This window comes from Homo sapiens, chromosome 2, assembly GCF_000001405.40.
Source record: "Homo sapiens chromosome 2, GRCh38.p14 Primary Assembly".
Lineage (NCBI taxonomy): Eukaryota > Metazoa > Chordata > Mammalia > Primates > Hominidae > Homo > Homo sapiens.
Genome location: NC_000002.12, coordinates 178,112,437 through 178,139,892, shown reverse-complemented (window position 1 = coordinate 178,139,892; position 27,456 = coordinate 178,112,437). Strand labels below are relative to the sequence as shown.

Here is a 27,456-nt window from a genome sequence, read left to right as displayed (position 1 = left end):
CAGGTGAGCACTGAATGTCAGAACCATTTCATTCCTCCAGGAATCCAAGGCGGCCTATAGGATCTAAGCTTAGGGTAGAAGAGAGTAAGAGGTGTCCTTGCAATCAGACCAAAGTATTTCAAACAGAGAGGCTGGAAAGAACATGTTGGAGGTGTTTCGTTTATCCTGCTAATAAATACTGTAAATCAGCTAATGTGCAGAAAGCTAACAGATCTTTCTGGGTCCTCTATGCTGCTTTTGTCATTCGGCATTGCTTTCTGATCAATTTGTAAACTACCATTTGAGAAAAGATATATATTTTTTTCCTATACATATTAATTTTGTTTTATTTTTCATTTCTTGTGGATAATTTCTCTCCATATTTGATTTGTGTTGTAATGGTTCACAGAACATGTTAAGGTTTCCATCACAATCCCTACACTATTGTAAAGTGTACTTTTTACTTTCACATTGTAATATATAAAAGTATATATATAATATATATTATTAAAATATATTATATAAAAATATATTATATAAAATATATATTTTATATATCAAGTATATATAAAGTACTTTGTAATTTCACAATTTAATCCTATATGAGCCCGCGTGTGTCAGGGTCTGTTGTTTTTACTAATTGTAATTTTGTCAGTGACTATGCTTCTGTTATTTAGCCTTATAACTTCTCCTTAAATTGTACTCTGAGATACTTTTTGTGTTAAGTGTGTGTGACAGAATTGGATTTAAAGGTAAGTCTCTTGAACGAAGGAAATAATTTCATTTTGTTTTTAGAATTTAAAGTTTAAACAGTTTTGGTCTTACGTGCTTTTTTTTTTTTTTTACTTTTGTCATACACACAATTTCACTTTTGTATTGTTCAATAATTTGAAGAGGAGACATTCTGTTATTAATTTTATTATTAAGCACCTTAACAGACTTCAAAAGATTCTTAATCTTACATTTAATTATCAAAGTAAAAAAAGAATGAATTTTAATATTTCTTTACAAAAGAGAAGGATTTTACCCCTCACCCACCTCCATCCCCCCCAAAAAATAAACTGCCATTCCTTCTTGGCCTTCATTAACTTAACCTAGGGTTATAAATCCCACTGAAAAATTTCGGAATAGATAAGTCATATAATAAAACTTTTTTTAAAAAATGAAATTTACAATTACCTTCATTATTCTAATAGTTTCAGTGATGATTTCAATACTCACCGACTGGCCTTTCTTTCCTTCTTCTTTTATTCTTAATTTTGATTCATTTTGGGAGTGTGGTGATTAATTTTTTTCCAGAAAGGGCAAATGAGCAGTACATTGTATATCACAGAATGCCTGTTACCTTTACAATTTGGATGAGTAGAGGAATCTTGGGCTACAAAACTACAGACATTGCTCCATTCCAGATGGCATTTAAAATGTGTAGAAGAGGATCTTCAGTCTTGTGACTTTTAAAATTTTTTAGATCAACCATGTTTCTTCTATTAAAACGAGTTATTGTTTATTGGGAACATCTATTAGTCAAAGGATAAATCTCTGTAATCAGCCTTTTTGATCTGCACCTTTTCTCTTACTATATTTGTCGGAGGGTGCTTTTTATCTTTTGCTCTGGTGCTTTTTGTTCATCCTAACTTATTTAAGCTGCAGAGAATCCTTTAAAAGAAAGCTTTTAAAGCACAATATATAACATTGATGAAAGCAGTTCTGATCTGGATAATGAACAAAAAGTGGGGGAACTTCCCTCCATCTTCGCTTTGTGGACTCATGAGAACCCACAGGATTCTGAAAAGTAGTTCAGTATTCACTGTTCATCATGGATTCAATTTTCTTTAGTGCTATGACTATTTACTATTTCTGACTCAAATATTAATTTAGCTTCTCCCTTTCTTTTCTCACTCTTATTTTCCTGCCCTCTTGCCATCATAATACCCTGCTGCACCATAGGGGGAGCAAAAGCAGATATTTTCTAATATTTTTTGTTCTATAAGCACTGGAAGAACAAAGTCCTTCTTTCTAAATGCTTCAGGACATTGTTCTTCTCTCATTCTGCAGAACTGTCTGTTTCACCAGCCTCATGCTGATTTTTGCTTTATTCACTAAGAAAGAAAAACTTTAATTGAAGTATAAGATAAATAAAAAATGCATACTCCATAGAGTACAGCTCAAAAACGATCAGTTATCCCCATCCTGGTCAAGAAAAACAAGACCACCAGCACACCATAACTCCCTTTGTGAACTCCCCCATTCCATTCTGCTCAAAGATATGTTTTGCTTGTTTTTGAACTCTGTAACTGGGAATCCTACAGCACATCTTTTGTTGGCTGGTTGCTTTTGTTCAACATTATGTTTGTGAGATTCCTTCAAATCATTATAAGTGTAGCAAGTTAGCTCATTTCCTTGCTATAGAGTGTCATATGCATTCTGTTCATGGACATTGGGGTTGTTTCCACTTTGGGGCTACTATGAATAATACCAAGAATGTTTTTGTATGTGTCTTTTGGTACATATATGTACACATCTTTGTTGGATATATGCTTAGAAGTGGAATTGCTGAGTCGAGGGTATACATATGTTCAACTTTAGTAGATACTGTCAAACATTTTCCCAAGCGGTTGAGCCAATTTGCATCAGCAGTTCTTGTTGCTTCACACTGTCACCAGTACTTGGTATTGTCAACATTTTAATTCTTGCTGTTCATACCACTGTTAGGGTAGCTTATTGTAGTTTTAATGAGCAGTTCATTGATGACTAATACGGCTGAACATTCTGAGTTTTAAAAGATTCTTAAGCTTATATTAACTATCAAATTAAAAAGAATATTTTAATATTTCTTTACAAAATGAATCTATCCACTACTCCTGTCCCCTGCCAAAACAAAACAACCCCAAAACAAAACTAAATAAAACTCCCCAAACAAAAAACCCTGCCCTCTTCTTGGTCTTCTTTTGTGAAGTGCTTGTTCAAATCTTTTGCCCATTTAGTTACTTATTTCACAATGAGTTTATCTAGGCCAATTGCAGAGAACTGTCAGACTCTGAATACTGCTTTCAGCTCTTCCACAGCTTACTTAAGTAAGTGCTGATATAATATCCAGCAGGTGGTCAAAGGTGTTAGACTCATTTCATTTCCCCAGGAAATCCCAGGAGGTCCATCAGATCTAGGGTAGAAGAGGGTAAGGGACTTCCTTGCAATAAGATCAAAGTTCTCAGGGCAAAGAAGCTGAAAAGAACATTCCGCACCCCCCCGACCCCAACCGCTATCTACATAAGTATTCTAAATCAGCTGATGTGCAGAGGCTAAGACATCTTTCTGTGCTGGTTATGTCACCTTTGTCATTCATACTCTTCTGGTCAGAGGCGAGATCTTTTATGACTCCCCTACTGAGCTGAATGCCGCATGTGGTTCTCTTAGTCAAGGAAACCTCCAACATAGTGCAGCTTCAGGGCCACTAGTGAAGGAATGCAGAAAGAAGCCTATTATGACAAGACTCTCAATAGCTGTCTCAAATTAACAGTATAGCCTTCTCATACATAAGTTAATAAGGAGTGTCAGAAGATGGGAGGCTAAGGTGTCATCTTGTTTTATTTGTTTTTGTTTGTTTGAGACGGAGTCTCGCTCTGTCGCTCAGGCTGGAGTGCAGTGGCGTGATCTCGGCTCACTGCAAGTTCCGCCTCCCGGGTTTACACCTTTCTCCTGCCTCAGCCTCCCAAGTAGCTGGGACTACAGGCGCCCGCCACCACACCTGCCTAATTTTTTGTATTTTTAGTACAGAAGGGGTTTCACCATGTTAACCAGGATGGTCTCGATCTCCTGACCTCGTGATCTGCCCACCTCGGCCTCCCAAAGTGCTGGGATTACAGGCGTGAGCCATCACACTGGGCTGTCATCTTGTTTTATTAACAGCATGTTCCAATGCAGAATTGGAGTCAGCCATTTTTTAAAATCCTACCCCTTACTGGGATTCTACTGAATTTCTATTTAGTAGAAATTCTTTCTAGTTTCCACTAACCTTAACCTAAGTTTCTATGATTGATATAAATTTTCTTCCTACTTAATGTTTTCCAGGATGTTTCTGTAGAATCCTGAGAGACGAGGGTTTGCAGAGGCTTGTATTTACACTAATAATTATTATCTTTCTTATTTTCTAGATGAGAAAACAGACCCAAAAAGGCCATGTGGGTACCACATATGAAACTCATTTTTGGGGAACTAAAGGCTAATAATATCAACAAGATCTAGAAGACATGATAAATTCCTGCTACAAATAGCTAAAAGCTATTAAGTAGAAGCTGGATATTCCAGGCACATTGCTAATCTTTAAGGATGATGTAAGGGAGATTTACTTCTGATTTCTTTTTGTGTGTGAAATACCTCCTTTGAGTTATCATAGTAAAATAAGACTGTAGGGACAACATTACAGTACCTGGTATAGACTCCCTATTGCCTATGATTCCCAGATTTAGGCTAAAAGTAGTAGGAGATGAGTCCTGTTAGGAATTTCTGGTGAAATAAACAAGCCAAGATGGTACCTAATGGTAGATGAATCCTGGTAGGAGTTGGTGATGATAAACCAAAGGTAGGTGCTATCTTTCCTAGTACACTCTTTTTTTGCCACTGTTGGCTCAATCTTGATATTGCCAAAGCAGCTCCCCTGTCCAGTGCTCTCAGCAACTATTGTAGATTGTTTCTAAAGTCAGTCCTTTAAGTAACAGATTAAAATCTTCTTCTCTATCCTCTTCAAAATGGTCACGCTGGCACTTGTATTAAGTTACGAATGTACTAATATAGAAGAGGGAGGAAGAGTTTTGTGCCAGTGGGGCAATGATATAAGAATGTAAAAATTATCTCCTAGGGCCAAAACCCAACACAGTGGATAGGCTTTGTTTTATTTTAAATTTATTTTTGAGATGGAGTCTTGCTCTGTCGCCCAGGCTGGAGTGCAGTGGCGAAATCTTGGCTCACTGCAACCTCCGCGTCAGCCTCCTTCATAGCTGGGATTACTCCAAGAGATTATCTCGCCTCAGCCTCCTTAGTAGCTGGGATTACAGGTGACTGCCACCATGCCTGGGTAATTTTTTTGTAGTAGAGACAGGGATTTACCAGGTTGGCCAGGCTGGTCTCAAACTCCTGACCTCAAGTGATCCGCCCACCTCAGCCTCCCACAGTGCTGAGATTACAGGCGTCAGCCACTGCGCCCGGCCCAGATAGGCTTTGTTGACAAAGAGAGAAAAAAATGAAATTACATATTTTTATATATCAGAACTTCTAGTAAATTAGTATATAACTTTAAAGTAGATGACTTTAATTTTTTTTCTGGCATAAAAAAACAACAAAAAAAAACAGAGCAAGCAAGCAAACAAAACCCTTAAAAACTCTGAGCTAATGAATGCTGTTACCTATGTCTTGTTAATGCTAGAAAATATTAATAATATATGAGCAAAAAAATTAGTTGTAACATCATTACTTACAAAATCAGAAAAGAATTTGGAGAAGAATTCAGAGAACGTAGTTTCACAGAAGTTATTGGTGGGAAGCACTTTGGTTATTCTTCTGTGCTCAGTATTTCCCCCAGTTTCTGTAGAAAACAGTACTGGTACTTGCCTTTTCACACAGTTCTTGAGTTTTGTACCTCATATACAAACAACTGTTTAAAAATGGTCTTCCGATGCCTTCCTTCTGCCACTTCTGCAGCATTTTGGTCAGACAGGCAGTTTCTAAGAGTCCCACGGTGGTATAGCCTAGGTTAGCTAGCTCACATGGACCTTGACATCCAGATACTGTCTTCAATTCATATATGACAGTCACAGAACTCCCTTTTTCTCTGATAATTACTCAGATAAATTTTCACAGGGCCTCGTAACTTTCTCAAAGTATAGTGGGAGCTGCATTTTCTACTAAGGACAAGACTTTTCTACCTTAAATAAAGTCAAAGCATGGCCATTGTAATGAATGAACTACAACTTGATATTTTAACTGAATATTTCTGTCTGATCTCCTATCAATACCATACCTTCAGTTCCCAGGATCCATGTGTTCTTGAGCTACTGTTTCTAGAAAAGGAAATAATGCAATCCATTTATTAGAATTCAAGTATTAAAATGGAACTTCTTGTCTAATAAGGATGACCATTTTTGTTTTCTCTTTACTGAAATCATATGTAAAAATAACTGCCCTGATTTTTAATAGCGCTTACCATCCACATATGGAACAAAGCCTGTGTGTGGCATACCTCTAGGTGAAAAGGCAATAGATTTCACTTGTTCTTGCCCTCACTGATTTTTAGCTTTAGTATTTATTAAAGCTATTGAAAGTTACAATGTACCTATAAATCAAAAGGTTTTTGGGTACATCAAAAAAGCATTCGTTTTACAAGAAGATTCATCTTACGATTATAAGAACACTCACATACACACAGAGGTATTTCTGTACCCTTTTGATTATTCTATTTCAGTTTTTTTGACAATGATAATTACATCTCCTTCATACTCCTTTGTCATTTAAAACAAATAACATTTACCTACGTACTTCTTCAGAACCCCAATCTTTGGTAATTTACTTAGACAATTCACTTAAAAATAAATGTAAATAAAAATATTAGGTAAAAGCTTTGAATGGCATAAACAATTACTATCCTTTACAAACATCAAAAAATATTCACTAAAGTAAAAAAAGATGGCCTATTATTTGTTATTTGTGAGACTGTGTTCTTCAATTTCTTAATGCAATTCATATTTACTGATATTAACTGAGGAAAAACCAGATGCTTAATTCTAAAAAATGCCCAAGGTAAAAAGACTAGGAAACAACTTCTCGATGCCTTACTTTTACAACAGTCCAACCTAAGGTCCAACATATGAAATCTCTTTGGGCCAGTATATTCCAAAGTGAATGCCACTGACCACCCCATCATAACCACAGCTTGTTCAAAAACTCACCCCAAACCTGCAGAACCAGTATACCTACATTTTAAACAAACACTCATGGTGATTCTTGTGGACACCAAAGTTAAAGAACCACAGTTTTGGCTGGGTGCAGTGGTTCACGCCTGTAATCCCAGCACTTTGGGAGGCCGAGGTGGGCAGGTCACCTGAGGTCAGGAGTTTGAGACCAGCCTGACCAACATGGAGAAACTGTCTCTACTAAAAATACAAAATCAGCTGGGTGTGGTGGCACGTGCCTGTAATCCCAGCTGCTCAGAAGGCTGAGGCAGCAGAATCGCTTGAACCCGGGAGGTGGAGGTTGCGGTGAGCTGAGATCGCACCATTGTACTCCAGCCTGGGCAACAAGAGTGAAACTCTGTCTCAAACAAACAAACAAACAAACAAACAAAAAAGAACCGCAGTTTTAGGCATTTCAAACACCATCATTTCCATCTCAGTGCCTTAAATTAAGATTGGAATGCTGCACTTTATCACCAATGTTTATCACCACCTAGTGGTAAAGTCCCTTATTTCTACTTTCCATGGATTCATTCATACTGAATAGGATCCCAATTAAGAGAGAACAAAATTCAGAGAAAGCTAAAATTTTAGAGTAATAATTTCCTGGCTATTTTTCACTACCTTTTTATCTACAGTAGATGAAACCTGTGAAACTAAAAGTACTGAACATTTTCTAAATGTATTTAACTTTGAAAAATTCTTTCTAGTATTTCAAGGAACATAGTTTGGAACATGTTGCTTTAGAAGCAGCAAATTTGACAGTTGCTTTCAGTAATCTACCATACAAGACCTCAGTTAATGAATTTACAAGAAGGCTTTAATCAGGCTTATTTTAAATGTTATTTCTTATTTTAACCACATAGTTGAGAGGTTTATTGAGATGTATTGCTTATTATTTAAAAAAATTTTTAAAGAAATATATACTAATAAAACTTCACTGTGTTGGCAGTTTTAATAACTAACATTTGCTGGGCATCCAAGTATTTATATATTATGTTCTTATACTCAAAGTGCATCTGAGAAGTAAACATTAAGGTGAAGACATAAACAACTAGATTAATAAATGCAATTTTTTAGGTTCTAGAATTTCCTCATTCTAAGAAAAATCTAAAATTCTGGCTTTTAAAATACAGCTTTAGGGATCAACTGCAAAAGATAGGAAGACAGGACCAAGGCTAAATAACTGAGAGGATTAAGATGAAATGCACTCTGAAGCTGAAGTAAGCATTGTTTACTGAGACATGCAATTGGGAAAGAAAACAAAACAACAGGTTGTACTGAAAAAGCAAAGTGTTTTGTAGGTAGAGAGGTATCATATGATCTCTTTAGAATTTATACTAGGATTCAAAGAAATACATCTAGATAAGGCACTTTACTCTTACCACAACTGTTTGCTGGGACCGGCTGCCTGACTGGTAGAAGGGAGAAACCGGGATCATTTAATCTGAACAGAGAATGTGGAGGGCTGGCCAGGTATATGATAGCTACCATGTGACAGATTCAAGCTCTCCTAGAAAGCCCAGTGAAATACTCTAATAGGGGAAAACTGTAGGAAATAGGATCTTATCTCAATTGTGAAGATTAACCAAAGATGCAATGGACTCAGGTAGGAGGTAGAGAGCTCCTTTCTATAACTGTTACTTTTACACTGTTTAGATTAACCACCTGGCAGAAATATTTTTGAGATAATTCAAGCATTAGTTACATGGCAGAGCCCAATAACTTGTAAGGAACAATTTAATTCCAATCTGTGAAAACTGAACTATGTGTACAGTAAATGAGTTTGGGATAACCACACCTATTTTTTGGTAATTAATCCACAACTTCCCTTGTTTAGGTTTTTCATTGCTTTGTTCTTTTAAAAAATTAAAAACAAAGAAACAGAGGACAGTGGCTATTCACAGGTACAATAACAGCACTCTGCAGCCTCGAACTCCTGGGCTCTGGCACTCCTACCGCCTCAGCCTCCTGAGTAGCTGGGACTACAGTCGCGCCACTGCACCCAGCTTTGCTTTCTCTTTAAAATACATCCTCTGCCTCACAGAAAGATACCTGGCCCAATTCTTGTCAGCAGTTTTGCCTGTGAAGGCACAACTAAATTTTCTTTTCTAAATTTGCTAAAATCACTGACTTTTAAAAGAAAAGATTTTAGTTTTCCAATGGAGATGTCCAAGTATAAGATACTCAGTTATTAAGATTGCTGAATTTAATCTTTCATCGTTTGAGTCAGAATGTGAGAAGTATAATGAGGAGATAATTACGTTTTAACAAATGCATGTCATTTATAATACCTTTTTATAAAAAGTGCCAAATGCTTGATTTAGATATACCTTTTTTATACATATCAATTCAATGTCATAGCTAATAATTTTTTTTTGTTAAAGTTTTCAAAATACAAGCAGAATAGATCCCTAATTTTTAATCTTTATTTAGTTTTAGTTTTTATTTTTGAGACAGGGTCTTGCTCTGTTGTCCAGGCTGCAGCAGCACTATTGTGGCTCACGGTAGCCTCGGTCTCCTAGGCTCAAGCAATCCTTCCGCTTCAGCTTTCTGAGTAGCTGGGACTGCAGGCACACACCACCACGCCTGGCTAATTTCATAATGTTTTGTGGAGACCGGGTCCTCTATGTTGCCCAGGCTGGTCTCCTCTTGAACTCTAGGGCTCAAGTGATCCTCCCACCTTGGCCTCCTAAAGTGCCAGGATTATAAGTGTGGTGAGCAACCACCCCTGGCCCTAATTTTAATCTTTAATTTCAAAATAACTATACCTCCTATTGTAGTCTGTTTTGAAAATTCCTTACATGTCATATTTTTGGAGTGGCCATTATTTCTATAAAGATAAAAATGTCCATCCCCCCAAAGCCACTGACATTTATTTAAATTTATTATCAGAAAGTTTTAATTTTTTTATCACTGTTGGCTTATAATCTTAGAGCTTCACAAAATTACCAACACATTTTGGTATAACTAAAAAAAATACAGTACAAAATATTTCCAATGATTTTGTCTTTTGTCCTTAGATTAAGTGTAAACAGTTAAGCTGCATATATAGATTGAGTAGCAATTACCATATTTTATTGACTCTAAGATGCAATTGATTGAAAAAAGCACCTTTTCATGTTTTATTAAGAAAGAAAATAAGGTTGTCGATTACACTATGCCATACAACTGATATTGAGATGCTTCTACTTTCAGGGGTGTTAAAATGTGAAAGATGTGCATCTCAAAATCAATGACATATGTCATTTAGTCAAATTCTAAAGACTGTCTATTAAATTTTTCCGTTCTTGTCTTTCACATAAATAAGTCATGATTTAGTTAAGCAAAGAAAACTTTATTTCTGCTACACGTAACAACATATTGCTCTAAGGAACAACTACTATATTCGTTTTAGCATTAATGTATGGATTCAAAAATACATGTCAGCAATCCCTGCTTCCCAGACAAAACAATGCTGTACACAGACTATCAGGTATATGGAAAAAAAAAAAGCTGTCAACTGTCCACAGGGAATGCGTCCAGTCACATTTTCAGTCAGTCAGCTGAGGATTATGTCATTATTTAGTCTTTGTTCTGTAGAAAGAACACAACACAAGTATGAAAATCATCACCTGAAAGGAAAGGAAATAGCTGTTGTAGTATTCCTAAAATGTTAGGAATTGTTCCTTTATTTCAATATACCCAATGTTATCTGCTTAATCATAGCTGCCCCCAAATAAAACCAAACTTACTAAGAAGGGCGATGCAGGTGCTGAATTTCTAGAGGGAAAGTGTTGTGAATTAACAAAAAATCTGATGCTCTGAAATACTAAAATTTATATTTTCCTCAAATAGAAAGAGAATTACATTGTGGTTATCAGACCCATCTCAAAATAGAATTCAACTACTTTCAATGTTATATCCTTGGATCAGTTGCTTCTATTTCCTAGGCATGACTCACTTAATCCCAGGCCCATACCTCAGAGATAAAAGAAACCAGCCTTCATGAGCTGTGTTTGCAGCCTTTTAAAAATTAAAGAAACAAACAAAAAAGTGCACCTACCCCAAAAAACTTGTCACAATCATATAAAATTTGGCAAAGTCTTCCACAGTATTTTATCGAAACTTAAAATAAGGTAATATGTTTATTTAATACACCAACAAAGAAGAAGAATCTCATAATGGAGTCCATTGTAAATAGGAGATCCGCAGCAAAAATAAAAAAAGCCATGCTGCAATTAGAAGAAATTCAAAACCGTGTAGCTAATCGTATCCTATCCAAACAGCCATTTTCAACTAACCTGACCCTATTTTATCTCTGCCCTGAATATGCGTAACAGTTCAAAAAAGGGAAAAATGATAGATTAAAATTTTTATGAACAGCCATGCTGAAAATGCAATTCCTCTGATGTAGGAAATTGGATGAGTTTAAGGGAAAAATGTGGTATTTATAAAGCTTAGTTCTCACAGTACCAACTGGCCACAAGGTAGTTTTATATCATTATACTTTTAGTTTCTGATCATTTGGATGTCATTATTTTAGATAAGAGGACATCTCAAAGGTTTCACTGAAGCTACAAATGCAAGAGTTTTAGTTTAGACTTGCAAAGCCTTTTTTTCATTTTACATTTTGTTGACTCATTGTCTCTCAAAAGCCCTATGAGAAAACTGGGCCTCAAAAAGGCAAAGAGGGTCAGTCGCAGTGGTTCATGCCTGTAATCCCAGCACTTTGGGAGGCCGAGGAAGGCAGATGACTTGAGCTTAGGAGTTCAAGGCCAGCCTGGGCAACACGGCAAAACCCTGTCTTACCAAAAAAAATTACCTGGGCATGGTGGCACATGCCTGTAGTCCCAGCTACTTGCAAGGCTGAGCTGTGAGGACTGCTTGAGCCCAGGAGGCAGAGGCTGCAGTAAGCTGAGATCAGGCCACTGCACTCCAGCCTGGGTGACAGACTAAGATTCTGTGTTTAAAAAAAAAAAAAAAAAAAAAAAAAAAAGGGCGTAGAGACCAGCCCAGTCACAGTTAAATGGCTTTTTATTTTAAGCCCAATATTCTCTTTAACATGTAAATAATCATTAGAAAAGGTTCAACCACAAGAATAATTTATATACTTTTCTATACTGAGAAGTCTAAAGTCTATATTATTGTCCTTTTTAAGAACAAAGATTTATTGAGTAAAAGCAAGAACTATTTATTTCCTATTATTGAAATATTCACAGACTAGAAAAAACACATTTTTTGCATGCTAGAGAATAGCTTCTCCAAACAGAATTCATTCTTAACATTTTATCCATAAACAGGAAAAAATGCTTGCTAATTCTTTTCCACTCCCAATTTAATATATCCAGGGTTAAATTGCTAACAATGTATGGTACAATGAGAGTGGTTTTGTCATTTAATAAAACATTTAAAAAGATTTAAAAATTAGGATTATGGGCCCAATGGGCACTTTCTCTTGTCAAATGCCTTCTATGAAGCTATGAAGGAGGAACTAATCATGTGATCTGTTCTAGGAGAGGAAGGGTCATCAGCAGTGAGGCCTGGCAGGAATCATTCTCATACGTGCTAGCTCACACAATTGGTCAGAAAGAAAATCTTAAGTGAAAAAAATAAAGGTTTCAAGCCAGTAACTTCAAACTGAATTCAAAGTGCCTGCCATCTACTACATTTGACCTATAGTAGACTTGGAAAGTTAGTGTGTGGGAACAGGAAAACGGCTTCCCCTGAAATTCAGAATTATTTTACAGAATAAAAACCGCCAAACTTTAGGCCAGGCGCAGTGGCTCATGCCTGTAATCCCAGCACTTTGGGAGGCCGAGGCGGGCGGATCATGAGGTCAGGAGATCGAAACACGGTGAAACCCCGCCTCTACTAAAAATACAAAAAATTAGCCAGGCGTGGTGGTACGCGCCTGTAGTCCCAGCTACTGGGGAAGCTGAGGCAGAAGAATCACTTGTATCCAGGAGGTGGAGGTTGCAGTGAATCGAGATCTCGCCACTGCACTCCAGCCTGGGTGACAGACCGAGACGTCTCGGGGGAAAAAAAAAGTCAAACTTTAAGGAATGTTTCCCCAAACCACACAGATATAAACTCACTGTCACAGTCAAATAAATTGTAGTTTGATTTTTGAAAACTAATAAATAAAATAGGAAATGGAATTCATATGGCTGTATGTATCAAAATTTACAATAAAGAGTTTTTGGTAAATTGTCAGGTTTTCTTAAAAAATACATATATGCATACGAGAATATTTTCTGAATGTATTGTTTTAATGCACAAACTCACAAATACAAGTCCAGAAAACACCAACATTTAGGTTCAAAAGGTCCAAAAATGATATATTATTTGATATTGCTTTTTAGGCATTTCATTAGAGAGAAGTCAAAACATTATCTTTATAAACGACTGTTATAAATTACCTCAATTCATAACTCAAGACACCAATTTTTCAAGTTAAAAATCTTTAGAAGTATTTCAATTTTTTTTTAAAGCAATCCTTATTCTAGCACCGGACAACTTAAAAGTTTATATAAGCACATAATAAAAAGTTGAATTCTTAAAATCGAAGATTTCACAAACAAAAAACAATTATTTATCTTTCTAAATTGAAATGTGATTTTATTTTACAGAAGGGCAAAAACATTCTTCAGTAAATGTCAACAATTTTTAAAGTTTAAATAGTTGCAAAGCTCTTTTAACTGACAACTTCTAAATCACTAAAAAGAAAAGTTTATAAAGTACTTACACATATTCCTCATATACTATTTACTCAATATGTTTTAAAATTCAGATTAAAAAGGGCTTACCTCAAGAATCAGTAAGTTCTTTGCCGTTTGTTAGATTCTTCTCTTGGCGAATCTGCCAGCATAACTTTAAGTCTCACCCCATTCAGAATCTTTCCATGTAGAGTGGCAATGGCATCATTAGCACTTATTCTATCGGCATACTTGGCATACCCCACATTTTTTCCTGACACAAGGTAAACTTCGATCAGGTTACCAAAACGACTGAAACAAAGTGAAAAAAATAATCAACCAAAATTGATAAATACAACTGCTCAGGTCTAAAATTTGGAGTCCATTCTTGACTCCATTTTCACCCTTCTCCCCAGATCCAACATCCAACTCATGTCAATCTTAAACATCTCAGTCAATTCTATTCATTCTCATTCAGATCTCTCTTCTCATTCAGACCATCATCTTTTCCTTAATCTAACTCCTTTTTCACTAGTTTCCTTACCCCTGAGCTTGTCCCTCTTCAATCCATTTTTCACTCTGTCTTCTGAGTGATCTTTCTAAAACATAAATATGATCATTTACTCCCTAAAAGTCCCCTCAGCAGCTCCCCATTGCCTCCATGGTGACAACAAATTCCTTAATATAGCTCTAGAGCCGTTCTGACATTGTCCTTGGACTCTTTAGTTTCATCTTCCTTAACAATCTCTCAAATTCCCTATTTAACAGCCCTTCTTTTACATTCTCTATGGCAGAAATAACCATGCATACCCCCAGCTTTCACCTGTGGAGAAATTATTTTTATACTTCAGGTCTCCACATACACCTTCCTTCTTTCAAGGCTTCTCAGAGTTTCTAAGGTAACTGCTCCTCCTTTGTATCTTACACATTCCTTATCACAGCAACAATCACCCTGGGTTGTAATTTTCTGTTTACTTGTCTGTTTCCTACATGAGATCAGCTCTAAGAGGACAAGAATCATAATGTCTTGTCCATTTAATATTTTGTTTACATGTCTCTTGTACTTAGCACAGTTCCTGCCTTGAACAAAGAGGAGGTTCAAGAAGAAAACTAAATATATCAGTTAAATAAAGGTCAAAATACTTGAACCATATCCTGATATTTTTTTCCTTTTGAGCCTCAATATACTATCACATTATGTCCCTGATATTTTGTGCAGCTCTTTAACAAGCTTCCTGTCTATCAAATTCACTAACATTCTTGTAAGGCAAATGGGAAAAAGGCCTAAAAGAAAAAGCAAAGAAAGGAGTTATGTTAAAAACACAAAAATAAATAAGAACCTTCCCTTTTTTATTATAAAAAACATTTATGTATTTTTCCCTACAATCAAGTAATTGTTTACACAATGCGACTGCATAACCCTTAAGGATCCTACAATGCACCAACAAAACAGAAGATGCTTAGCAAAAAAAACACAAAAAACAAAAAGGGTCTCACTCTGTCACCCAGGCTGGAGTACAGTAGCACAATCTTGGCTCACTGCAACCTCGACCTCCTGGGCAAAAGCAATCCTGCCACCTTAGCCTCCCAAGTATCTGCGACCACAGGCATGTACCACCATGCCTGGCTAATTCTTGTATTTTTTGTAGAGATGGGGTTTTGCCATATTGCCCAGTCTGGTCTTGAACTCCTGAGCTCAAGCGATCCCCTGACCTCGGCCTCCCAAAGTGTTGGGATTACAGGCATGAGCCACTGCACCAGGCCCACTTTATGTTTCAAAAACAAAATAGCAGGAAATTCTCTATGGAGCCTTAGGATGTGTGACTGATAAACAAGAGAAGAAAATAATCAGAAATTGAAAAAGATGATACAAATAAGGAGGTTTTAAAAGCAGAGAACTAATACTCTCTACTTGATAGGTACTGGGTGAAGGAAGTGTCTAGATTATAAGAATAATTAAATTACTAGTGTAAATAAAATATAACAAAAAATGTAACTTTCTTACCAGAATATATCTTCTAATACGTCTAAAGGTAAAGGATGAGGATTAAACACAATAAAAAGTCTTTCTTTCACAGGAGTTTCAGCAGGAGCTTTTTTTTTGCATGATGGAAGTACAACATCTGTCTGGATTTGAGGCAACTGTGATCCAGAGCTTCCTCCAAATTGCTGTTAACAGGTAGAAAACAAGAAAAAGAAAAAAATGCCCTTTAGGGATTTTTGGCCAAGAGCTAAAGACAGATATGTATCATGGCATCTATGTGGTCTTCCACAATAGCTCTGAAAATTTTCATACACAGATAATCAACAAAGCATGATTTCTCTTCACATTTATTTTATATGCTATTGATATATTATAAAGGTTAAATTCTTACCTACTTACCATAAATTGTTGCTGACTTGGGTTATTCCACACCATTGATGCAAGCTGTGCAGCTACCATCTGTGTTGCCATTTTTCTAAGGAGACTGGAAAAAATAACTGATAATTTACAGAAAACTAAAAATATTCAGTCTTTTAACAGTAGCTTGTTTTGTGTGACTTTCTCACCTGAGAGGTCAATTGTTTCTATTTTTATTCTTCAAGTCCTATCAATCATGTACACTCAAAGCTCGGCTTTAGACACTCCTGGAATGGTACTTACTCTGTTGCATTACTTCCATCATCAATGAAGGAAACACCTATTCGGTTCCCAGGAGGGTACTGAAATCCATGTAATTTGTATTTTGCATAAATAGCTGATGCTACATTAAAATACTGAACCACTCCATGACCTAAAATAGAGAACATACAGAAATGAAAAAGGAAAGCAGACTGAGTGCCTAAGGCCTATGTTACAATCTATCACAAAAATGAAACCATGTAGAACTCTAATATCACACAACTAGTAAATACAGAATCGAATGTATCAGAAAACACAGTTCTGTTATCATGTGTGCAACAGGTGTATTCCTAGAAAAGGAAGAAATAATTTAGGGAAAAATATGAACATGATATTTTAGGGAAAATGGAATATTAACATACGTCCTGTCTAATAAGTTTAGTTTTAGGATACTAGCTTTTCTTATATGATACCAATATACTTAAAAGTCTAAATTTTTATTCTTTGAAATCTACTTTGAAATTTTAAGATTTTCCCAACCATACTGGGTAGGAAATGAAATGAGAAGTGATAGTTGAAAAGAATATATACTCATCCCGGCTATCTGCAGCAGTAGGGAGAGGAAAAGTGATTTGAATGAAAAACAAAAAGATAGGGAACAGAGGATCTCAGATCACAAGTGATATATTTTACTTTCCTTTGGAGAGATTTCTGCCAAAGGGACGAATTTCAATTTAGGAGGGTGATGTTGAAGGGAGGGACAATGTTATAATGCATTCCTTAGAGAGCCCAGGAGTTTGTGACACAACTAAAAGGTTTTCACTTTTATAATACAAACCACTGGGGAAACACTTATAATTTATGTTCATCTGGAAACCCAAGCATCCAACATTTTAATGAAATTAAAATAAAACACAGAAATCAAATGACCATATAAAGTTAATTCAAATGAGATTCGAACTATATGATGACACCTCTATTAATAAAAAGATGTTCCAATGACACATATATTTCAGACACATCCAACCAGAGAAACAAAACAGGAGGTACAGGAACAAATACATTTTGACATACCAGATAAAAGGGAGGGAACAAAACAAAATGAACACAACTTCATATGCATATAACAAATGTGCCAGAGAACACAAAAATGTGTGCCTAGAAGTCTTAGAACAGAGAATGACGCATATGATCGGGTTAAGACTGGGGATGGCTCAAAGACAGTTCTACAAAAAGACTAGTGCTGGGTTGGGTACTAGTGAGTATGTGGGGGTGTCTGTATGAAGGGTGGAGTTACCTTAGTCCTGTTGGTCCACATGACCAAACTCACGTCACTACTTCTATGTCAATAGCCATGCCACTCTAAAAGGACTAAATCAGGTATCCTTACAAAACTGGAAGAGATGCCAACCAAGTATGATTTCTCTCTACCACCCCTCACTAACAAAGAAAAAAAAACCCCTTAGATTTACTGAGTGCCCTATTACATGCCAGAACTTGCATTAAGTTATTTTACATATATTATCTCTAATTCTTACCTAACCCTGGCAAAGAAGGTATCAATGATCCCATTTTACATACGAGGAAAGAGAGGCTCAGAGGGGATAAGCAAGTTGCCAAGGTCTCAAAGCTACATGTCACTGCTGGGATTTGTACCCGATTCTATGCAAAATGGAATGCCAGACTTTCCCATTATGCCACAATGCCTCCATTAACAAAGAGCCTTAATAAAATCAAAAGCTTAAAACACAAAGATGGGTTAGCTAATGTTAGATAATGGGTTTAATCAATTAACTAATTAATAAGTTCAAATGGCTGATATTGGAGACTTGCTTCCATTGAGAATTGGAAGAAGCAGGAGAGAAGCAGGGCATTTAGATGCTTGGAATGAAAGGAAGGAGGGGTATAAATTTAAGAGAAAGAGATCTAGGGATGAATGAGGAGGAAATTTTGTGAGTTTCGTAACTTTGTCTAGCATTAACCAAAAGAGTACATAGAAACAGAGGCTCTATCCAGAGGTATTTTTTGTTATGCAACTGGAATACAGAATGTTATATTTTGTGGGAGTTAAAATATATTTTACAGTGAACAATTTTGTAAAAAGAAGATATATTTCCAGGGCTTTGTTTATTAAGGTATCACCATATTTTGAATTCTAAAGTAGAGAAAAAGGAAAGATAAAATTCCTGTCACATGAGCAGTACTTGACATAAAAGTGCCACTAGAGAAAAGCCATTTTAACAAAACTCTGTGTGTGTGTGTGTGTGTGTGTGTGTGTGTGTGTGTGTGTATATATACATATATATATATTTTTTAATGTGAACATTATTTTACCATAATTTGAATAAGGATCTCGTTGAACTTCACAATATTCCAATCCTGGTACTATATCAAAAATGCTGAAAAGCTGTTCTTCAGTGAAAGGAACTCTTGATACAACTGACAAGCGTTTGGAGATTGCTTCCTGGCCTCGGCTATCATTCTTGTCAAAACTTGAAAATTCAGATTGTTGTTCTCCGACAATATAAAAAAAAGTAAATCTTTAGATTTCTACACAGCCAACAATTCGCTTAACATTTTAAATACTAGAAAACAGAGTCCATTGTACTGAATAAAGGCACTGTATTTTGTAGTACGCTTCTGGTCATCAGAACTACCGATGGGACTAATGACAAGAAGAGACAACTCTCCCCACTCCCCTACCTTTAATGCAGAAATATAAGAAGAAATGCATAGTCTAATTTCACAGAAAGAAGTTTAGTATGCAAAACTGAAAAATATGGTAAGTATTTTACCTGAATGTTTACGTCAAATAACATTCACAGGCCTTACTTTCATTACCCATTTTCCCCTTTTTCTATTAGAGCTTCTACTTTTACCATTCCTCTCCTTTCTGTAGCCCTAATTTTAAAGTAGCAGTAGTTCTGGAACAAAATTTTAGGACTCATACGGAGAGGATCTCTACATATGTCTTTTTAAGTTTTTGGTCAGCTATATAGAGGCAGAAGCTCACCCAAAAAAGTGGCAGTGGTAATAGTTTCTAATATGAGGAATGCGTAACTTAACAGAGAAAACTATAATTAGAAATCAGTTAAACAAAATAAGTGTTAAATATTAAGAACTTTAGGAGTCATAATCCACATTTTAGGAATAAAAAAACTACATTTAAGATTTTTATTCACTAGGTGAAATTTATAGATGCCCAATAACAGAGTATTCTTTAAAACCCAAATTAGATTGCATATACTACATTATACTATTAAAAGTAAAGGTTGCCTACTTACCAAATGGAAACATATTTACTCTAGGTTCATGTCCCAAAGCTTCTTGCCTCATATTACTATAATAATCTTGTTCAGAGGATTCAGATGCTTTATTTTTAGGTTCAGCCAAGATTGCTCTAAAACCTGAAAAAACCCCATGAATTTCAAGTTTCACAGCAAATTTAACATACCTGCAAATATACTTGATTGCTAGTGCCTGACTCAGCTTTATAAATATAATTGTACAAAGCAAAATCTATACAATGGCCATCTCCTCCAGACCTACTTCTTTGCTTTCTGGAAGATGGCAAAGAGTAAATGACAAACAGCAAGTATCCCAAATTACGGGTCAATGTAGACATGAAAGATCAGCAATTCTATGCTATCCTTTCCCATCTCCCCCTATTACAGATAACATCGTCATTCATTCACCTAAGCTCCTCAACATTAAAATCCTGTAGGGCTTCTTTATATTTAACCTGTCACCAAGTTTCTTCCTTTGAAATGCACACAATTGGAATATGCTATCTTTTACTCTAACTTCCCTGCCTCTGTTTTTAATTTAGATTCTCTTCAATTAATTACAAGAGCCCTTTAACTGTTTTTTTTGCTTCTGGATCAAGGGTTCTTAACTAGGGGTCCAAGGATGAGCTTCAAAAGGTGGGAAGATTCCACAAACCCTCTGACACTTCAAACAAAATGCTTATTATGCATTTATGTGCACATGGGCATATTTCAAGGGTTCAGTTTTCTTCACATTATTCAGTGGCTTAAAAAAAGGATAAAACCAGCCAGTTTGAATTCTTCTCTGGAAATCTATCATTAATACAGTGGGGTTAGATCAACTGTTCTTACTTTTGTCTTTCTAAACAATCTACAAAGGAATCCTAATGCGGACTAACCTTGAACTTTTCCTAACCTCCAATATATGGTTCCCATGTTCCAATGTACCTAGTTAACTGTGTCTCAGAATGTCTCAGCAGAAATACTGTGCTTTACTCAGACAGCTGCCTTCACAGCACCAAGCAAAACACATGTTTATTCCTGGCATTGTGCCTCTGCTAGCACTGCTCTCACCTTCTGTCCTGCCTCCTCGACACCAGACACAAGTCCTACCCCCTCGGCATGTGTTGCCATGCTCATCCAGCACTTGTTTTTCACCATTGACAGACTCTACCATACACTTATGAACATTTTTTTCATTTGGCAAATTCTTACTGAGTCTACTATAAATGGCATTTACTTTTATAGAGAGCTTAATAAATCTTTATTGAGGGCCTATTATTGTACTAGATACCTGGAGTGACAGACAAATAAGGCATACTTCTTGCTTTCAAAGAGCCTTTAAAAAAAGTTCTTCCATTATTCTTTATTTTTTGCCTATTAGATCTTGGCTACCCAATACAGCTATAAATTCCTTAAATGTGAGGGCTGCCATATACTTCATCTGTATCCCTCTACTTAGCATATTGATCAGTATACTGCAGGTACTCAATTACTGCTAGCTAAATGAGAAATTTAGAAGGATCTAAGAGAAAATCTGGGTATGTACCTTAGGGGTATCTAAGAATTCTACTGATTAACAGTAATTCTTTCCAGTAAGTATATATTTTTATAATGTCCTAAAATCCAGTAATTTAATTACTCTACATATCATTTCTAAAGGTCAATATACCTAACTAGAAGTATACCAACAAAGAATATTCTCTTTGACATCTTTAAAATTCTTATTCTTTATATATACAGCAACATCAGAAGATCACATTCATGTCACTCTAGCTTGAAATTAACCCTATCTATATCAGTTACCTATGTTAGCACATCTTATAAATCTTACCCTTAACCTATAGGTTTATTAGTTATACTTTATAGTCTTTGGGATGTAGATCAAATATAAACAAATATAAAGAATATTTTAAAAACCTTGAAAAGGTAAGTCAAGTTTTTAATACTTAAAATTCTAAAATACACTTAAAAAACCCTAAAAACCTATAAAAATAATACCCAAAGTATGCATTTCACTTACTAAGTTAATGTAGTTGCTCTTATTTCTTCAAGATAGTGCCTCAATGAATGTTTAATCATAACCCCAAAATATTTTTCTTCCTTGGACTGTAAATATTTAAATACCCACTGCTAAAATTACATTAGCAGATACAGTTATTAGCAAAAACTAATATTAAATTCAGCTATTTAGAATAATCAGAATTTTTTACAAAAGTTTTTAACAATGTTAAACACATCCTTACTTCGATCACAGTTTTCTATTGCTTGGGCAGCTTGTGATGGTTTTAAGTATCGTACGTAGCCCAAACCTTTACTTTCTCCAGTCACTTTATTCTTAATAATGCTGCAATACTCGATATCTCCATACACCTAAGAGAGTTAAAAGACATGATTTTAGGGGACTTAAAATTAATTGAACAGAGTATTTCAGAACTAAAAATTTGTTTATATGTGACCCTTGCATGCAAACAAAGAAATAGGCAGTATAAAATATGCAGATATTGCATATTTGTATTTGCAAATATGCTTATTTCATAGATAAGGAAGCTGGGCTTTAGAGAAATCAAAGAGGGACAAAGTCACAGAAGAGTAAGAATTTGTACATGGTCTGGATAGCTCCAAAGTCTTGCTCAACAGTGGTTAAGAGCCAGAGCTCTGGAATTAAACTTTCTAGATTGAAATCCTGAATCAACCACTCATTAATTAGGCAGTTTACTTATTCTCTCTGTGCCTACCTCTTTATTAAAGAGGCTAGCAGTAGTATCTACCTCACAGGGTTGTTTAAGGGTTAACTGAAGTAAAACATGTGAAGTGCTTACATGGGGCTTGGAACATACTCAAAGAACATTAGCTATTATTACTTGTCTGTCTTCTAACAGGAACATAAATGATTGTGTATTCTTTTGAAGGAGTGCTTTTCAAAGGGTATTTCTAAAATATGCTGGTTCACTCAGAAAGTTACTATTCTGAGAAACATGCAGTAGTGTTTACTTTCAATGTTCAAAGAAATATGGAATATAATTGGTATTTATTATTTATTTTATAAATTCTTATGTAATCAATTAGCAACTTAATTACTATACATTAAAGTGTTATATTTGTTCATTCAGGAAAAGAAAAATTTATAAATATTTAAGGTAAAAAACATTTTCCTTACTACTGGAGGATGTATAAAATATACGTTTTTGGTATTTGTTATTTTTGAAGTATTTCATTGAATTCTCAATTGGGGTAGGAGAGAAAGTTTGAAAATTACTTTTTACTGCTTGTTTTCTTTCTTGCTTGTTGCCACCCAATTCATGGGAGGATTAGTAGAAAAAAGATAAAAAACTACAATTCAAAACAATTAAAAAATTGCTTTTTAATAATTTGTGTGAAAGCTCATCACTGCATAAGTTAATGGCTAAAAAGACATAAAATTATCCTCAAATTTCACTTATATAGGTCAGAGCTATATTTACGTTTTCTTCTTTAAATATAATTCCTTCAAAGGCCCAATTTTAGGACAAAAACTCTTCAAAGAATAAGCCTTTCTGTGAATGAGTACCATGTCAACACACCATAGGCCCGTTCTCAATACTAGATAATACAGTTCACACACTCAGGTCTGCCTGATTCGCCTCTACATGCCAGGCAATAGAGGGGAGTGATAAAAGCGTGCTTTGAAATTTTAAAGACCAAGAGCAGGCTCCAGACTCCGACAGCCTGGGTTTAAATCATAGCTCTACCACCTACTAGTTGTGTGACTTTACTTAAAAGTTTCTGAGCTTTATGCTTCATTTCTGCGAATCTCTACTTTCACAATAAAGTAGGGAGAGACTACCATTACTATTTTCCAGCTTTTATATATTCTTTAATTTTAAAAACTAATTTATGCTAGGTTTAATATTTAAAGAGTAGATTGAAATTGATGAAAGCAGTTATGTAATTCCCCAAGACTACTCTATTGACCTTATTCCAACAACATTTCAGATTTAGTACCCATACAACCTATGCAGGACTATGAGTTATCACATATGCTAGCTGATTAGAATAAATACCTTAAATTTTTCCCGCAGATCTTCTTCTGTGTAGGACTTTGGTATCATAACAAAGATTCTTGTAAGTTCTTCATCTTCAACATCTCGGTGACTTCCAGATGATCGGGACTGAGCAATGAAAACCTAAGAAACAAACAAAACTCCCAAAATAAAATAATGTCAACTATTTTCCCATTTCTTAAATTTTTTCAAAAGCAATTATTCTTGCAATGACTTTTTTTTAATCTTTGAGACAGGGTCTCAAAGAAAAAAAAAAGCAGGCTGCAGTGCAGTGGTGTGATCATGGCTCACGGCAGTCTCAACATTCTAGGCTCAAGTGATCCTCCCACCTCAGCCTCCCAAGTAGCTGGGACCACAGGCACACACCACCACACCCAGCTAATTTTTTAATATTTGTAGAGACAAGGTCTTGCTATGTTGTCCAGGATGGTCATGAATTCCTGGGCTCAAGTGATCCTCCCACTTTGACCTTCCAAAGTGCTGGGATTACAGGTGTGAGCCACTGTGCTGGGCCTGCAATGACTTTTTTTTATGAGATAATACCAATCTCTGCATTGTGTTTTTCCCAAATGTATTTCTACTTTTGCATTTATTTTTAGCCAGAGTAATTTGAAGAAACGTAATACAATTAATTAAAACACCATAAACAAGGGCACTTGCATTGTTTGTTTCTTTTTCCTTTAAAGGGGTCTCTATATCTTGGTCTCTGATCCACTGCTGGTAAAGGGGGCTCTGTATCATTAAAGCATGAGAAAACTGGAACTTATGAAATTCCACAGTAGGAAGCAGCAACCAAGAAAACCACAGTGTTAGAGACATATCCCTTTATAGTCTACTTCTAGTTATTCCTTCAATAAATCTATACTATATGTCAAGCACCATATGAGTACAACTATTGAGTAACATGGAAATGGCCCACTAGAGTCTTGTGGCTGATATCAGTAATAAATGGTAAATAGGGAAATACAAATAGGGAAGCTTTAAGTATATGCAAAGACACTAGAGAAAAAAAAAAGAACCTCAGGTAAGATGAAATTGGAAGTGCCATCAGAGCACAGATTTCTATATTTTAGAGGACTGAGGTGTTTCAAATCTCTGATAAAGGAGACAGTCTATGTAGAACATACGTAAAATAATTAACCTCCTCATGGTAGATTTCTCCCATAAATTTTTACCTTCATAGACTGAGTGTTCATAGGCTCTAGATAAGAAGCATTCTTGCAAAACTACAGCCAAGATTTTTTTCTTCTGTTTTCTAGGTTTCCCCCTTTCCGCCAGATAACATAGTTGGTCACAGAATAACTTTTACTTGGACAATCTTTTCTGGCTGAGGGCTGGTAAGATAATATTGTTGTCTTACAGATCCTCTGAAACTTTGTAAAAGCAAAGTACAATAGAAATATTGAAGCTGAATTAATTTAACTGGAAATGCTGAAAACAACCCAAGAGTGTTCCAGTTGAAGATGGCTCAAGCTGCAGCTGCTGAATGAAACTAGTCTGTTAGGGTGTGGTGGCTCACAACTGTAATGGGAGGATGAAACGGGAGGCTCACTTGAGTCCAGGAGCTTGAGACCTGCTTAGGCAACATAGTGAGACCCTGTCTCTAAGAAAAATAAAAAAAATAAGCTGGGCATGGTGGTGCACATCTGTAGTCCCAGCTACTCGAGAGGGAGGATGAGGCAAGAGGATTGCTTGAGTCTGGGAGGTGGAGGCTACAGTGAGCTGTGATCAAGAAGCCACTGCACTCTAGCCTGGGTGACAGAGTGAGATTCTGTCTCAAAAAAAGAAAAAGAAACAGAAACTAGACTGTCTAGCTAGGTACTACAGTGAAACAACCTTCTGGCTAAAACTGAATAGTCAAAAATGTGACAAAGAAAATAGTAAAGTTTATTTCTTTTTGGGAACAAGATCTTTAATTTCTCTGAGGCTAAAAGAGAGGGTACATTTCGGTGTTGGGCCTTTAATTTCTCTTATAGAAATTTATCAGGGGAAGGTGGTCCATCAATTTCAAATATGGGACAGTTTTTTGGGCTGCCCACAAGGGCTCTGTGGCCATGTTACACTCAAAATATAAAAATCCTCTCCACTAAGGTCATAATTGGACAGCGATAAAATTCATTAGTCTAGTACAGGGGTCAGCAAACCACAGCTCCATTTTTGGTATAGCCCATGATGTAATAATTGTTTTTACAGTTTTTAAGGACTGTAAAAACAGACAAGGTTATGTGACAGAGACTGTATGTGGCCTGCAAAGCCTAAAATATTTACTAGTCAGCCCTTTACAGAAAAAGTTTGCCAATTCCTGATCCTGTATGCTGTGGCCCTACAATTAATTTTGTTGCTGTCACTCTGACACACTTCAGAGGGTTGGAGAAGTGGGAGGAAGGGACTGTTTACTGTGTTGTTGGTAGAGTCCCAGGCTCCTTCTCTTTGGTGGATGGAGCAAGACCTCCAGAGACTGAAATATCTCTGAGCCCTTTATTTACATAAATCCATATTAATACCATTCTCAGTTTGGAAAACAATTTTTTAAAAAATTGAGAAAATATTTTTGTGCAAAGTACCAACAGAATAACATACACAGCAACTATTTACATGGGGCAGACGAAGGCTACAATTTAAGCAATTGCCAGATTCTCAGGATTGAGTCCTGATTTGAGATCACAGGGAGTAAGCTGTGACATCTTGGCTACTACTGATCAATAACAAGGACATTATTGAGGGCTTACCCTGTGTGAGGCACTGTGCTGACAGCACATATTATGTCAAATAACCCTCAAAATGATCCTTCCTGCCATGTGTCATTATCACAATGATTTGGCTCTTCTTAAGGCAGTTTACTTTGGTCTGCTTTCAAAGAAAAGTTGCAGTAACAGAAAGGGTCAAGAACCAAATGTATGCTATTAACACTTTCAGAAACAGAGCTCATTCAAAACAATTTTCCAAAATAACAAAATGTGAAGAATATGTAACAGTGACCGTTTTAAACACCTGCACTTATTCTTTCTGTACATGTATTCTTTCGCCTGGTACTAGGAAAACGTCCAACACCAGAGGTCCCTCCCCAGTTTAAAGTACTTCTGTCAAGTTGTTAACGCCTCATCTGTACCTGAGGAAAAGTAGAGTTTTTCCGTTTTTTATATATGGAAATCTGGGCATCTGAGAGAGGAAGGTCAGAAAAGTACTCAAAGTAGGCTAGGACGAGTTTGGCAGTGAACTCAAGAGCTGGTGGATTAGTGAGGGCGAGGGAGAGGGGAAGCCCAGCCACTGCTGTTCTGTCACCCGGTGGCCGCGGCTGCCGGGTCCGCTCTCGTGGGGCAAACACTCCGCATCCCGTCCCCTTCCCTGCAACCCGGCGCAGCTTCGTGGGAGGGGAGCCTCTCCTCAAAGCAGCCCCTGTCCCCAAGCCAGGTGCTGTCTGGTCAGCTGCCGGGAACGGATGTTCCACTCCTCCCTCACCCCGGCAGAGCAGCAGGTGAAGGGAGGTCCAAGAGGCCCACTCCTTCCCCCGAGGGCACCCCGACCCGGGCACCCGCACCTTGATGGGCTTGGTGTCGTTGGGGCCGAGGCACTGGCCATGCATCTCCTCCATGGCCCTGCAGGCCTGTGAGCTGCGGGCGAACTTGACGAAAGCAATGCCCTTGGACTCCTTGGTGTGCTTGTCCCGCACCACCCAGATGTCCTGGATGTCGCCAAAAGGCGAGAAGCGCTCCCTCAGCACCGACTCAGGTGTGTACTTGCTGATCACAAGGAAGATGCGGCTGTTGGGCGGTTCGTCCAGGCTGTCCACGCCCGGGCGGAAGCCCCCGCCGCTCGCAGAGCTGCCAGCTTCGTCCATGGTGCTCCACCCGAATGCAGGAGCCTCACTGCTCTTTGCTTCTGCGGTGTCTGCCACCGCTGCTGTCTCACACCCAAGCCTTTGCCGGCTCGGTGCTCCGCTTCCGGGAG

At 36.7% G+C, this 27,456-nt stretch overlaps 1 protein-coding gene across 11 annotated transcripts, besides 1 other annotated feature; it reads right to left on the bottom strand.

Moving 5' to 3' along the window:
* Nucleotides 1–881: 881 nt before the first annotated feature.
* Nucleotides 882–27,456, bottom strand: RBM45 (RNA binding motif protein 45). 11 transcript variants are annotated; one of them, XR_007069527.1, is made up of 12 exons: nucleotides 27,047–27,456; nucleotides 23,509–23,631; nucleotides 21,712–21,838; nucleotides 19,484–19,606; nucleotides 18,534–18,713; nucleotides 16,242–16,371; nucleotides 15,981–16,065; nucleotides 15,603–15,766; nucleotides 13,709–13,909; nucleotides 5,993–6,032; nucleotides 3,310–3,430; nucleotides 882–3,139 (listed from the first exon to the last, which is right to left on the bottom strand). XR_007069527.1 is itself a non-coding variant. In XM_047443321.1 (11 exons), the coding sequence occupies exons 1-9, from the start codon at nucleotides 27,344–27,346 to the stop codon at nucleotides 13,717–13,719; spliced, it is 1,854 nt and encodes a 617-aa protein (XP_047299277.1). In that variant the 5' UTR covers nucleotides 27,347–27,456; the 3' UTR covers nucleotides 882–3,430; nucleotides 5,993–6,032; nucleotides 13,709–13,716. The 11 variants fall into 11 exon arrangements, 9 of the variants coding, with proteins under 9 accessions (XP_047299277.1, XP_047299280.1, XP_047299278.1 ...); XR_007069526.1 differs by having other exon boundaries at nucleotides 3,310–6,032; nucleotides 26,618–27,456; XM_047443321.1 differs by having other exon boundaries at nucleotides 882–3,430; nucleotides 26,618–27,456.
* Nucleotides 27,251–27,420: an enhancer, noted in NCBI's record as "active region_16801". NCBI's record gives its function as "activates an Ori minimal core promoter by ATAC-STARR-seq in GM12878 lymphoblastoid cells {active_cell/tissue: GM12878}" and the evidence as "EXISTENCE:reporter gene assay evidence [ECO:0000049][PMID:35858748]".

Bases quoted from the DNA above. Each gene is read 5' to 3' on its own strand.
- RBM45 (XM_047443322.1), bottom strand. From the start codon at position 27,346: ATGGACGAAGCTGGCAGCTCTGCGAGCGGCGGGGGCTTCCGCCCGGGC. The intron at 16,372-18,533 runs GTAAAATAATGT...TCTCTATTTTAG, and splicing joins AGATCCTTATTCAAATTATG to GTCATGGAGTGGTTCAGTAT. The intron at 16,066-16,241 runs GTAAGTACCATT...TATTTTTTCCAG, and splicing joins GATGGAAGTAATGCAACAGA to TCTCCTTAGAAAAATGGCAA.